We start from the raw sequence: 14,300 nt of genomic DNA on the forward strand, positions 1-14,300 counted from the left end.
TGACTAGTGTGAAGATCCATCTCAGATTTTACATTCTAGCATTTTTAAAATAATATATATTTATGTGCCTTTCAGTGTTTGGCAAGTTTTGTGGAGAAAATTGTCAGATGTTTATAATTTAAATATATTTGGTGAGTACTTATCAAAATCAAGCAAAAAATAGTCATTGAATAGGTCAGCCTAAGATTTGGCTGTCTCCTCACTTTGCATTTATACTTTTATACAGTTTTCTATAAATATATTCATATACACAGTATATGAGAATATTTACTGTAGCATTATTTGTAATAGCAAAAGATTGGAAATTAAAACTTAAATGTCCATCAGTAATGGATTGCTTTATAAGCTATGCATGCAGAGAATGGGACACTATGGAACCATTAAAAACAGCAAGACAGATTTATACGTATTAATCTGGAATTATTGCTAGGACACATTAAGTGAAAAATGCATAAAACTAAAGTATAGTATGCAGAACTTACTACCATTTGCAAAACACACACGCAAGTATGCCTTCTAGAAGATTTTGGTTTAGATAAGTACACAAATTTCTTAGCAGAGAACAGCATTGACATATATATAGATTGGATTGGACACACAGTTATTTGTAGGTGGGTGGAAAGGTGTCATAGAAACTGGTACTAGCCCTAAACTTTGGGGTAGGAGAGGCAGGCTTTCTCCTTTATATTTTTTTGTACTATATAAAATTTGTACTTCACCTTTCATCTGTATCCCTGTGTACTTTAAAATTTTTCAATTTTTAGTTAAAAAGCAATATTTATATGGCTTTTAATAGTTCCAAAGGGTATAAATACAGAGCGAGTTTGTCCTGGAAAACAATTAAGTGAGGTAAATAATGTATATTTAAACCATTTTTTCTCTTAGGTTGGGGTTGAGAAAAATCTTAAAAGTCAAAACTTCTTACCAGAAGAACTTTAGAACTTCATACCAGAAAAACTTTAGACCTTTAGAAAATTTTAGAACTTCAGCCATCTTTTGTGAAACCGTTATTCTAGAACTCTCAGTGGATATATATCCATCCCCCTAGAAACTTCCTATTTATTTTAACCTTTTTCTCTGTTTCCTTTTTCTTATTCCAGTATTTTTCCCACTTTACCCTTTCTACAAATTGCCTATTCGAATTCAGTGTATTAGTTTGGCAAACAGTCCATCTTGAGAGACTGTTTAACTCCATTGATTTGGAGTAATCAACTTTTCCTCATTTTATTTTCCTGCTGATTGAATCATTTCAGTCCTTTTTTGGGGGAACTTTTAACACTTTTTGTTAGTTTTTTAGATGATTAATAAATAATCTTCAACTTCAGTATATTCCTTACCATTAATCAAGAATGCTAAGTTATTCATTGATATGACAGTTTTGAAATGTTCTAACAAAGTCAAAACAGTTGTTTATTGGATAATTGTTTATTGGATATGTAAAAATATCTTAAAATGTGTAAACTAGAAAATTACAAATGTTAATTTGTAATTTCATGCACAGTGATGAAATTGGATTCATCCTCTAAGTTAAACTAAATTAGAATTATGTTCTACTTTATCACCAAATTATTTAATTGGCTGAGAAATTGAAAGGTAGGGAGTTTGCTACTTCTACAGATATTTGGTAAGCTTTAATGGAGAAGTAATGCGAAGCATTAGACAAAATACATGTTAGGAAATGCATAGCCCATACACATATGTAAACACTTGATATCCTCCAACATCAACTAAGTATGTCAAGTTAGAATCCATTGATGTTTCTAGAAAATAAGCAAAGTAATGAAATTGCCTCATGATTTTTAAGTGCTGCCCTGCTGTATAATTAAAAGGTGTAATACTTCTATGCCCATTTTTGCTTTTCTGATTTGCAGGTGTAGCAAGTAATACTATCCAACCTACTCCACAGACTATACCTGCCATTGATCCCGCACTTTTCAATACAATTTCCCAGGGTAAGTCAGCTGACTATTTTGTGAGATACATTTATCTCCTGTTTTGGGTTGCTGTTTTGTAATTTTACCTTGACAGTACCATATATTTAAATGTTGTTACTGAAATTTGAATTTCTAGGTAATTTGAAATAAATTTCCTTGAATGCTTATGTTCACTAGATTCTCAAATGAGCCAGGATTGTTTGACTTTAAAAATACCAACATCCAAAGCTGTCCCCTTTTGTTACAGTTCTTTTTTTCATGCACTACCGGATATTGAAGAACAAACATGGAGCCAAGGCTACCATGGAAGCCTATGCTAGATTATATTAATTTAGTTCGAGATTACCATGAGTTCTGATTGTGACTTTTCTTATCTACACTGTTATTAAATTATCTAAAAAGAAAGGAACTGACCATTATTAAAAATAAAAATCTCTGAGGTTACTTTGGTTGGTTGGTTTATAGGCTAAGTGATTGGTTTAAGTATAATCTTTACTACTTTTCTGATTTCTCTGTTTTTTTAGCCCAAATCAGGCATTGTGTTTATTTTGGTCTTTCTCATTCAGACTTTTGTTTTCTTCATATGTCAGATGATATTTAATCCTTTTATATTTAAAAGGATTTAAATTTTAATCCTTTTATATTTAAAAGGATTTAAATTTAAATCCTTTTAATTTAAAGGAAGTGAAGACCTTTTTTGTTTTGTTTTGTTTTTGAGACAGTGTGGAGTGCAGTGGCGCAATCTCAGCTCACTGCAACCTCTGCCTCCCGGGTTCAAGCTATTCTCCTACCTCAACCTCCCCAGTAGCTGGGACTACAGGTGTGCGCCACCACACCCAGCAAATTTTTATATTTTTAGTAGAGATGGGATTTCACCATGTTGGCCAGGGATGGTCTCGATCTCTTGACCTCATAATCCGCCTGCCTCAGCCTCCCATACTGCTGGGATTACAGGCATGAGCCACCGTGCCCAGCCATTTATTTTTAATAGCTGTTATTTAGTTTCCTCTGTTAATGTCTGCCAGTGTGTTTTTCAGCTTGAATTTTCTGTTCTCCCTGTATGAGTGGGAACTGGCCAATAAGCCTTCCTGCCTCTCAACCATGGAATGAGGAGAGCCTTTTAGGGGTGAGCTGGATATCATACCTACCTTAAGAGTTCTAGCACTGCCTGGGCAGTTTGTTACACAGTTTTAGGGAGATGCTCTTTAAATCTCTTGTCAATTTTCTCTTTTCACTTTTTTCATTCTTTCTCTTCTCCTTTTTAATTTTGTGGATTTATTTCCTTCTGTGTTACTTTATCATTTCATTATGGTTTCAGAAGGAAGAATAGTTAATTATATATGCTTAGTCTACCATCTAGAACCAGAACCCTAGAATTCTTTATCTAAACTGTCAGGCAGGTGTTAGGGCAAAATAATTTTTAAATATGTAAGAACTCTCACATTTTGCCTAGCACATACCTTTTTTAAGGAACTTAACTCAGGATGTACTCCATCAAGATAAGGGTGGTAATCAAGCAAAATAGAAATATGAAATATAAGAAAGGGTGAAATATACTTCTTTAGATACTCCAAAGAAGAAAGATTCTATGATAGCTTTCCCACCTGCTTGGAAAGCAATTGCTCCAAAATTAGAATAGGAAATTGGAGAACTCCCCTCCTTTAAGAAAAATAACATGGATTTCATTTAATATATAGAATAGGAGCTTCAGAATATGAAAGACATAGATAAGATGCCCTAGAATCCTGCCAGTAAGAAAAAAAAGTGAACTAAAACATCTAATTTTGATATTATACAAGAAATCTCAGTTTGGAAGCAAACAAAAATATGCCATGATTTTGAACAGTAATAGAATTATGGAATATAAAAGAAAAGGATTTCATTTGACTTAGACACAAAGAACATTCTCCTTCAAAAGGTAAAAGGCTTATGACAAAACATAGAGTACTTCACTCAGAATGAAATATAAATATCAACACTGACATTTTAACATCATACTGAAAATCCTAGCTAGTGCAGTAAGAAAGGAAAAAGAAATAAAAGCTATAAAGATAGGAAAAGAAAAAATAACACTGTCTTTGTTCATAGATGACATGATGGTCTGTAGAAAATCTGGAAGAATCAATCAAAAAATACACTTAGAACTGATAAGCAATTGTAACTGGATTGCAGTATACATGATTAATATGCAAAAATTAATTGCTTTCCACATAGCAGCACAAAACAAGTGGGATTTGAAATTTAAATACACTTGCCATTGTGTTTGTATTTACATAAATACAATAATCAAAAACAAAATACCATTTACATTAGCATTCCACCAAAAATATTCAGGTATAAATGTAACAAAATACATTACAAGATCTATATGAGGAGAACTACAGAATGCTCATGAAAGAGTCAAAGAATTACATAAATGGAGATTTCGTGATCATGCATAAGAAGACTGTATTCTCAAGATGTTAGTTCTTCCCAGCTTGGTCTATAGATTATGGACAGTTCCCATCAAAATCCCAGCAAGTTATTTGGTGCATATGAACTCCAACTATCTAAAGTTTATATGGAGTGGCAGAAGACCCAGAATAATCAACGTAGTACTGAAGGAGAAGAACAAAGTTGGAGGACTGGCACCACCTGACTTAAAAACATAATACAAATCTGCAGTAATCTAGATAGTATGGTACTGGCAGAAGAACAGACAAATAGATCAGTGAGACAGAGTCCAAAAATAGACCCATACAGAAAAAGTCATATGATCTTTGACAAAAGGAGCAAAGGGAACACCATTGAAAAAAGATACTCGTTTCAATAAATGGTGCTGGCGTAACAGGACAGCCACATACAGCAAAAAAAGTGAATCTAGACACAGACCTTCCACTCATCTCAAAATTTAACTCAAAATGGTTCTGATGCCTAAATTTGAACTCCAAAACTAGGGACTTCCAGTTCCAAAATGGCAGTGTAGAAGCATACTGGCTTCATTCCCCACCAACAGAAAACGAAAAACAAATATACAGCACTGAGATTGACACCAGCAACAACCCAGAGCCCAAGTATGAGGATGAAATAGTTCCTGGGGCCACAGAGAAGTGGAAAAACTCCAGTAGGAGAATCAGACTTCCACTTTCATGATGCTTCTGCCCTACCCTTATGCCCACACAGAAAATCTCCCCCACCTCATAATTTCTACACTGAAAGAAGTAAAATTGAAGTGGTCAACCATCTTCCCCACCTCCTTGGGTTCCCTGGCAGGAGATCTGTCCTTGCCTTAACCCACAGGTAGCATCATGACTGCCTGCAGGGAAAATATCACTGAAGACCAGCAGAGACTATTATTCCCAGCCCCAGAAACTTCACTGTGCAACTTGGCCAAAGGAGACACCAAATCAGAATGGCTGTTCAGCAGTACCATGCTGTAGGAGGTACATTTCCCAGGTCCTGTAGGCACAAACCCCTACCTAGCCTGCCTTCCCACACTGCCAGTGTAATCCATTTGGGACATTCAGCGCTCCAAACATTTACTAGAGCTGAGGCAAACCTGGGCTTATGGCGCCACCTAGAGCTGAAAAGGAGGTAGCGACCTAGCAGTGAAGATTTGTTGAGCAAATATATGCAATAAAAACCAAAACAAGCTGGACAGAGAAAACTGGAATAAATAACTAATTCTTCCAGTGCAAAGACATAGGAAAGACCCACAAGAAACAACAGCAAACAGGGAATCATGACCTTCTCAAAAGGACAAAGCAAAAATCCTGGCCGGGCACTGTGGCTCAAGCCTGTAATCCCAGCACTTTAGGAGGCTGAGGTGGGCAGATTACCTGAGGTCAGGAGTTCAAGAGCAGCCTGGCCAGCCTGGCGAAACCCTGTCTCTACTGAAAATACAAAAAAAATTAGCCAGGCATGGTGGTGCATGCCTATAATCCCAGCTACTTGGGAGGCTGAGGCAGGAGAATCGCTTGAACCTGGGAGGCGGAGAGTGCAGTGAGCCGAGATCTCCCCACTGCACTCTCCAGCCTGGGTGACAGTGAGACTTCCATCAAAAAAAAAAAAAAAAAAAAAAATCCCAAAACTGACCCTAACAAGACAGCAGTTTGTGAGCTCTCTGACCAAGACTTCAGAATAACAATTTTAAGAAAACTCATTGACCTCTAAGATAATACAGAAAAGCAATAAAGACATTTGACAGATATTGGAATAATTTTTCAAAAAAAATCAAATCTTGGAACTGAGAAATACATTTGCTGAACTGGAGAACTCTTTTGAGGCTCTCAACAACAGAATGAAGTAAGCAGAAGAAAAAAATCAGTGAGCTCAAAGACCAGCTATTTGAAAATACACAGTCAGAAGAAGGAAAAAAAGAGAATGAAAAGGACTGGCTACAAGATATAGAAATCTACCTCAGAAGACCAAATCTAAGAGCCATTGATGTTCAAGAGGGAGCTGAGCGAGAGGTAGAAAGCTTATTCAAAGAAATAATAACAGAAAACTTCCCAAAACTTGAGAAAGATATAAATATCCAGGTACAGGAAGGTCTTTTAACACCGAACAGATTCAACCCCCAAATAAGACTACCTGAAGGCATGTAGTAATCAGATGCTAAAGGCCAAGGACAAAGAGAAAGTCCTTAAAACACCAAGAGATAAGAAGCAAATAGCATATAACAGAGCTCCAAATCGTCTGGCAACAGCCTTCTCAACAGGCCAGTAGGTATTGGAACATTTTAAAAAAAAACTGTCATCTAGGAATATTGTGTCCAGCAAAATTGTCATTCAAATATGAAGGAAAGATATAGTCTTTCCCAGACACAAAAGCTGACCCATCCTGCAAGAAAAGCTAAGGGGAGTTCTTCAGTCTGAAAGAAAACACTAATGTGCAGAAGAAAACATTTCAAGGTGTAAAATCCACTGGTAGAATTAATACTATGTATATAATTTTTTAGTATAGAGCAATTTTATAGTATAGAGAATAGAGCAATTAGGCAAAAGAAAGAAATAAAGTTCATCCAAATTGAAAAGGAAGAAGTCAAATTAGCCTTGCTCACAGATGACATGATCTTATGCCTATAAAAACCTAAAGACATCTTATGCCTATAAAAACCTAAAGACTCCACCAAAAAACCGTTAGAACTGATAAATTTAGTGAAGTTACAGGATACAGAATCAACATACAAAAATCAGTAGCATTTATATACACCAACAGCAAATAATCTGAAAATCAAATTAAGAAAGCAATCCCATTTACCATAGCTACAAAAAAATATAAAATACCTGGGAACCGATCTAACTAAAGAAGTTAGTTATTAATAACTAACTATAATATTCCGTTGTGTATATACACTATGTGTATATATTAATAACTAAGAAAAACTATATAAAATTCTGATGAACATAATACAAAAAATGTAATACAAAAAAATATAAAATACCTGGGAATCGATCTAACTAAAGCAGTTAGTTATTAATAACTAACTATAATATTCCATTGTATATATACACTATGTGTATATATTAATAACTAAGAAAAACTATATAAAATTCTGTTGAATGTAATACAAAAAATGTAATACAAAAAATACAAATACAAAAAAAAATACCTGGGAACCGATCTAACTAAAGAAGTTAGTTATTAATAACTAACTATAATATTCCATTGTGTATATATTAATAACAGAAAAACTATAAAAAATTCTGATAAATGTAATAGAAGTAGACACATAAAAAATGGAAAGATACTCCATGCTTATGGATTGGAAGAATTAATATTATTAAAATGACAATACTACCCAAAGCAATCTACAGATTCTGTGCAATCCCTATCAAAATGCCAAAGACATTCTTCACAGAATGACATTTTACCAAAAAAAAGAACCCTAAGATTTATGTAGAATGATAGAAGACCCTGAATAGTAAAAGCAAAACTGAGCAAGAGGAGCAAAGCTAAAGGCATCACACTATGTGACTTCAAAATTTACTACAAAGCTATGATAACCAAAACAACATGGTACTGGCATAAAAAACAGACACATGGACCAGTGGAACAGAATAGAGAATCCTGATATACATTTATGCATTTACAACCAACTTATTTTTGACAAAGATGCCGAGAACATACAATGGGGAAAGGACAATTTTTTCAATAAATAGTGCTGGGAAAACTGGATAACTATATGCAAAAGAATGAAAGTAAACCCCCATCTCTCATCCTACACAAAAATCAAGTCAAAATGGATTAAAGACTTACATCTGAAACCTCAAATCTAAGACCTATGAAACTTATAGAAGAAAACATTAGAGAAATGCTCCAGGACATTGGTCTATGCAAAGATTTTTTTGTGTGTAAGACCTCGAAAGCATAGGCAAATAAAGCAAAAATGGCCAAATGGGATTAGATCCAGCTAAAATGCTTCAGCATGGCGAAGGAAAAAATCAACAAAGTGAAAAGACAACCCATGGAATGGGAGAAAATATTTGCAATCCATCTATCTGACAAGGGATTAATAACCAGAATATATAAGGAACTCAGACAACTCAATAGCAAAAAACAAATAATGCAATTCAAAAATGGGCAAAAGATCTAACATTTCGTATATGAAGAAATGCTCAGCATCACTAATCATCAGAGAAATACAAATCAAAATCACATTGCATTATCATTTTACCCTAGTTAAAATGGCTCATACCAAAAGACAGGCATAGAGAACAGTGCAGAGGTTTCTCAAATAACTAAAAATAGAAGTACCATATGATTCAGCAGTTCCAAAGGAAAGGAAAACAATATCCAAAAGAAAGGAAATGAATATGCTGCGAGAAATCTACACTCTCATGTTTATCGCAGCACTATTCACGGTAGCCAAAAAATGGAATCAACCTAAATGGCTATCAGTGGATGAATGAATAAAGAAAATGTGGTGTGTATACACAATGGAATATTATTCAGCCAAAAAAAGGAAAAGAATTCTGTTATTTGCAGCAACATGGATAGAACTAGAGGTCATTGTTTGAAATAAAATAAGCCAAGCACAGAAAGACACATATCGTATGTTCTCACTCACATGTGGGAGCTAAAAAAGGTGGATCTCGTGAAAATAGAGGTAGATTAGTGGTTACCAAAGGCCAGGAAGGAAAGGGGGAAGGAGTGGAGGATGAAAGTGGAAAAAAAAGAATATACGTGTTTTTATTACCACTGAAATGTATGCTTTGAAACTGTAAAGATGGCAAATTATACATGAATATTTTACCTTCATAAAAAATAAATGTAAAAAGTAAAATACAAAACTATAAAACATGTAAAAGATAGCATAAGAGAAAATCCAGATGACTTTGGGTTGAGCAATGACTTTTTAAATGCATGACCTATAAAAGAAAGAAATGATAACGCAGATTTCATTAAGATTAAAATTTTCTGCCCTTCTAAAGATGCTGTCAAGAAAATGAAAAGACAGATCACGAGGTCAGGAGATCAAGACCATCTTGGCTAACACGGTGAAACCCTATCTCTACTAAAAATACAAAAAATTAGCCGGGCGCGGTGGCAGGCGCCTCTAATCCCAGCTACTCGGGAGGCTGAGGCAGGAGAATGGCATGAACACGGGAGGCAGAGCTTGCAGTGAGCTGAGATAGCACCACTGCAGTCCGGCCTGGGCGAAAGAGCGAGACTCCATCTCTTAAAAAAAAAAAAAAAAATGAAAGGACAAGCCACAGACTGAGAGAAAACATTGCAAAAGGCTTATCTGATTAAGGACTGTTAACAAAATATACGTAGAACTCCTAAAGAACAATAACGCAGACAACCCTATTTAAAAATTAGCAAAAGGCCTTTATAGGCACCTGACTAAAGAGGATATACAAATGGAAAGCAGACATATGAGAAGATACTCCACCGCATATATCATCAGGAAAATGCAAATTAGAACAATGAGATACCACTACACACCTATTAGAATGGCCAAAATCCACAACATTGACAGCACCAAATGCTGGTGACGATGTGGAACCACAGAAACTCTCATTCATTGCTGGTGGGAATGCAAAATGATACAGCCATTTTAAAAGACAGTTTGGCAGTTTCTTATTTAACTAAATACATTTACCTTAGGATCCTGCAGTTGTGTCCTTGGTATTTACCTGAATGCTTTTAAAACATATATTCATATGAAAACCTGCAAGCAAAAGTTTATAGCAGCAATGTTTACAATTGCCAAAACACAGAAGGAACCAAGATTATCTTGCTGTCGGTGAATGGATAAATAAACTGCAGTACATCTAGACAATGGGATATTATTCAGTGCTAGAAGGAAATGAGCTATCAAGCTATGAAAAGACATGGAGGAAACTTAAATGCATATTACAAAGTGAAAGGAACCAATGTTTAAAAGCTATATACTGTATAATTCCAAGTATGTGACATTCCGAAAAAGGCAAACTATAGAGGGGGTAGAAGATCAGCAGTTGCCAAGAGTTAGGGGGAGAGGGAGGGATGAATGAGTGGATCACAGAGAAGTTTTAGGGCAGTGAATCTATTTTGTATGACACTGTGTTTTAGTCTGTTCTCATATTGCTATAAAGAACTACCTGAGACTGGGTAATGTATGAAGAATAGAGGTTTACGACTCATGGTTACACAGGCTTAACAGTAAGCATGACTGGGAGGCCTCAGGAAACTTATAATCATGGCAAAAGGTGAAGGAGAAGCAGGCATCTTCCTCACATGGCAGCAGGAGACAGAGAGGGAAGGGGGAAGTGCCACACACTTTTAAACCATCAGATCTCGTGAGACCTCACTATCACAAGAATAACAAGGGGCACATCAGCCCCCATGATCCAGTTACCTCTCTCCAGGCCCCTCCTTCAATTCAACATGAGGTTTGGGCAGGGACACAAGTCCAAATCATATCATTCTGTTCTTGGCCCCTCCCAAATCTCATGTCCTTCTCATATTCCAAAATACAAATATCTCTTCTCAATAGTCCACCAGTCTTAACTCGTTTCAGCATTAACTCAAGTTTATAGTCCAGACTCTCCCCTGAGACAAGGTAAGTCCTTTCCACCTATGAGCCTGTAAAATCAAAAACAAGTTAGTTACTTCTGAGATACAGTGAGGGTGCAGGCACTGGATAAATGCTCCCATTCTTAATGGGAGAAATTGGCCAAAACAAAGGGGCTACAGGCCCCATGCAAGTCTGAAGCCCACCAGGAAAGTCATTCAATTGTAAAGCTCCAAAATAATCTCCTTTGACTCCATGTCTCACTTCCAGGTCATGCCAATGCAAGGGGTGGGCTCCCAAGGCCTTGGGCAGCTCCACCCCTGTGGCTCTGCAGGGTACAGCCCCCTTGGCTGCTTTCACAGGCTGATGTTGAGTGCCTGTGACTTTTCCAGGTGCATGATGTAAGCTGTCAGTAGGTCTACCATTCTGAGGTCTAGAGGATGGTGGCCCTCTTCTCACAGCTCCACTAGGCAGTGCCCCAGTGGGCATGCTGCATGGGGGCTCCAACCCCCCATATCTTCTCTGCACTGCTCTTGTAGAGGTGTTCCATGAGGGCTCCACCAGTGCAGCACACTTCTGCCTAGACATCTGGGCATTTCCATACATTCTTTGAAATCTAGGCAGAGATTCCCAAACCTCACCTCTTGCCTTCTGCGCACCCATAGGCCCAACACCACACCTTGGTGTGGCCATGGCCCAAGCCACACCTTGGTCCCTTTTAGCTATGGCTGGAGCTGGAGCAGCTGGGGTGCCATGTCCCAAGGCTACACAGAGCAGCTGGCCCTGTATCTGGCTCATGGAACCATTTTTTCCTTCTAGATCTCCAACCTGTGATGGCGGGGTCTGCTGTGGTGGTCTGTGAAATGCCCTAGAGACACTTTCCCCCACTGTCTTGGCTGTGAACATTCAACTCCTCTTTACTTATGCACATTTGGGTGATAGACTTGAATTTTGCCCCAGAAAACAGGGTTTTTTTTTTGTACCACATGATCAGGCTGCAAATTTTCCATACTTTTATGCTCTGCTTTTTAAATATAAGTTCCATTTTCAGATAATCTCTTTGTTCATGCATATGAGCCTACACTTTTAGAAACAGTCAGGTCAACTCTTGAATGCTTTGCTGCTTAGAAATTTCTTTTGTCAGATACCCTAAATCATCTCTCTCAATTTCAAAATTCCACAGATCTCTAGGGCAGGGGCAAAATGCCTCCAGCCTCTTTGCTAAAGCATAGCAAGAGTGACCTTACTCTAGTTCCCAATAAGTTCCTCATCTCCATCTGAAACCACCTCAGGCTGGACTTCATTGTCCATATCATTATCAGCATTTTGGTCAAAATCATTCAACAAGTCACGTGGAAGGTGAAGGGGAAGCAGGCACCTTCTTCACACGGCAATAGGAGAGTGAAGGGGGAAGTGCCACACACTTTTAAACCATCAGATCTCATGAGAACTCACTGTCACAAGAACAGCAAGGGGGACATCCATCCCCATGATCCACTCACCTCCTACCAGGCCTCTCCTCCTATTTGACAGGAGATTTGGATGGGGACACAAATCCAAACCATATCACACTGTAACAATAGATATATGTCATTATAAATTTGTCCAAACTCATGGAATGCACAACGTCAAGAGTAAACCCTAACATAGACTCTGGGTAATACTGATGGATCAATGCAGGTTCATCGATTGTGACAAATATACCACTCAAGTTGGGGAGTTTAATAATGGAGGAAGCTATGCATGGTGAGGAAGGGGAGATAAGGGAAATCTCTGTACCTTCCTCTCAACTTTGCTGTGAACTTAAAACTGCTCTAAAATATAAAGTCTTTTTTAAAAATAGTGCATTTATAACCACTGTCACTACCATTACTACTGCTTCTAGTACTTATACCCCTTTTCTGCTACATATTTCTCCTTACTGCTTAGTATTTAATCACCTTTTAATGCATATATGTGTGATATTAATGTATATTAAATATATTGTAATGAATTTATGGCTCACTCTGGAGAATGGAATTGGATAGGTAGGTATTTGAAGCACAGTGTTTACTTTTTTACTTTTACATCTCTGAATAGTATTAGAGTGTCAATGACAACTTACCTGATAAAGTTTTTTGAGCATTGGCCAGGCGCGGTGGCACACGCCTGTAATCCCAGCACTTTGGGAGGCCGAGATGGGTGGATCACGAGGTCAGGAGATTGAGACCATCTTGGCTAACACGGTGAAACCCCGTCTCTACTAAAAAATTACAAAAAAGTTAGCCAGGCCTGGTGGTGGGCGCCTGTAGTCCCAGCTACTTGGGAGGCTGAGGCAGGAGAATGGCATGAACCCGGGAGGTGAAGCTTGCAGTGAGCCGAGATCATGCCACTGCACTCCAGCCTGGGCGACAGAGTGAGACTCCATCTCAAAAAAAAAAAAGTTTTTTGAGCATTAAGTGATATAATATCTGAATAGTATTTAGCACAGCACTTGACATAATGAAATTCTGCCTGTATTCATAACTACTATTGTTGGAATTGTTAAGTGACATGTCTCAGCAATGCCTGTATGTATGAAGGTTCAGTCTGTGTCCTGTGTGTTCCATCCAAGTCAAAGGATAATAGAGTATACCAGAATGAGATTATCCAAGGCCTTTGACATAAGAATTTCTAGAACTATCTAGTTAAATTGGAAAGAGCTGCTAAAGACTCATTTTGGAAATATTTACAAATAAGTGTTCTATCCTCTCTTATGACATTAGATATATCAACCTTGGAAATGGATGCTTATGTCAACTGAGCACGCAGTGATTTTTCTTTATACCAAGTGATGTTATCTTTGATCCAGTGCTGACCCAGGCTCTCTTTGCCACTGTAGTAGAGGATTTAACTGATAGTTCTAGCTCTCTTCTGCCTGATCTTGTCCTGACCTCTGAAGAGGAGATGAAGCCCTCTTATATATAGATGGTCTTGTCTGCAGCTCGTCTGTAACTTATAAGCTAAGATTTCAGAAGAGAGATATATTAGACAACCCCTCTAATCTTTGAAGCATCTTTAAGGTCCACTTGCACCCTCTCTTGTTCTGATTATGGCCTCTAGTAAATTTTAATGATAGAAAAAAAAAACAGCTTTTATTTTGGTGCATTAAGCTTATATTGACCTTTTTGAGTATAAAGTCAGATAAACTGAAATTTAACACTTGTTCTCTTTCTGAAATGTGTTTACCCTTATATATTTTTCGCTTACTCTGTTGAGTTTTTAAATACTAATTTTAAAGACTCATAATTAGGTGACATTTTATTTTTACTCAGTTTAAGAATTTAATTCATATTTTATTAATGAATGTAGACTAGTATACTATATTTTCAAAATAAAGGAGAGCCTATGTGTTACAAAATAGC

The 14,300-nt window shown here is 37.0% G+C and overlaps 1 protein-coding gene across 3 annotated transcripts in view, besides 1 other annotated feature; it reads left to right on the forward strand.

The window, feature by feature from the left end:
- VTA1 (vesicle trafficking 1) overlaps positions 1-14,300 on the forward strand; it is a 77,423-nt gene that overhangs the window by 54,851 nt on the left and 8,272 nt on the right. Inside the window, exon 7 of one of the 3 annotated variants that reach the window (NM_016485.5) lies at positions 1,872-1,952. The exons of the other annotated variants lie outside the window; for them this stretch is intronic. Coding sequence (NP_057569.2) covers positions 1,872-1,952 — 81 coding nt within the window. The remainder of the gene's footprint in view (positions 1-1,871; positions 1,953-14,300) is intronic. 3 annotated transcript variants of the gene reach the window in all.
- Positions 5,339-5,633: a silencer, noted in NCBI's record as "tiled region #15423; HepG2 Repressive DNase unmatched - State 25:Art". NCBI's record gives its function as "represses a minimal TATA promoter and a strong SV40 promoter by Sharpr-MPRA in HepG2 cells {active_cell/tissue: HepG2}" and the evidence as "EXISTENCE:reporter gene assay evidence [ECO:0000049][PMID:27701403]".

Source organism: Homo sapiens, chromosome 6 (assembly GCF_000001405.40).
Source record: "Homo sapiens chromosome 6, GRCh38.p14 Primary Assembly".
NCBI lineage: Eukaryota > Metazoa > Chordata > Mammalia > Primates > Hominidae > Homo > Homo sapiens.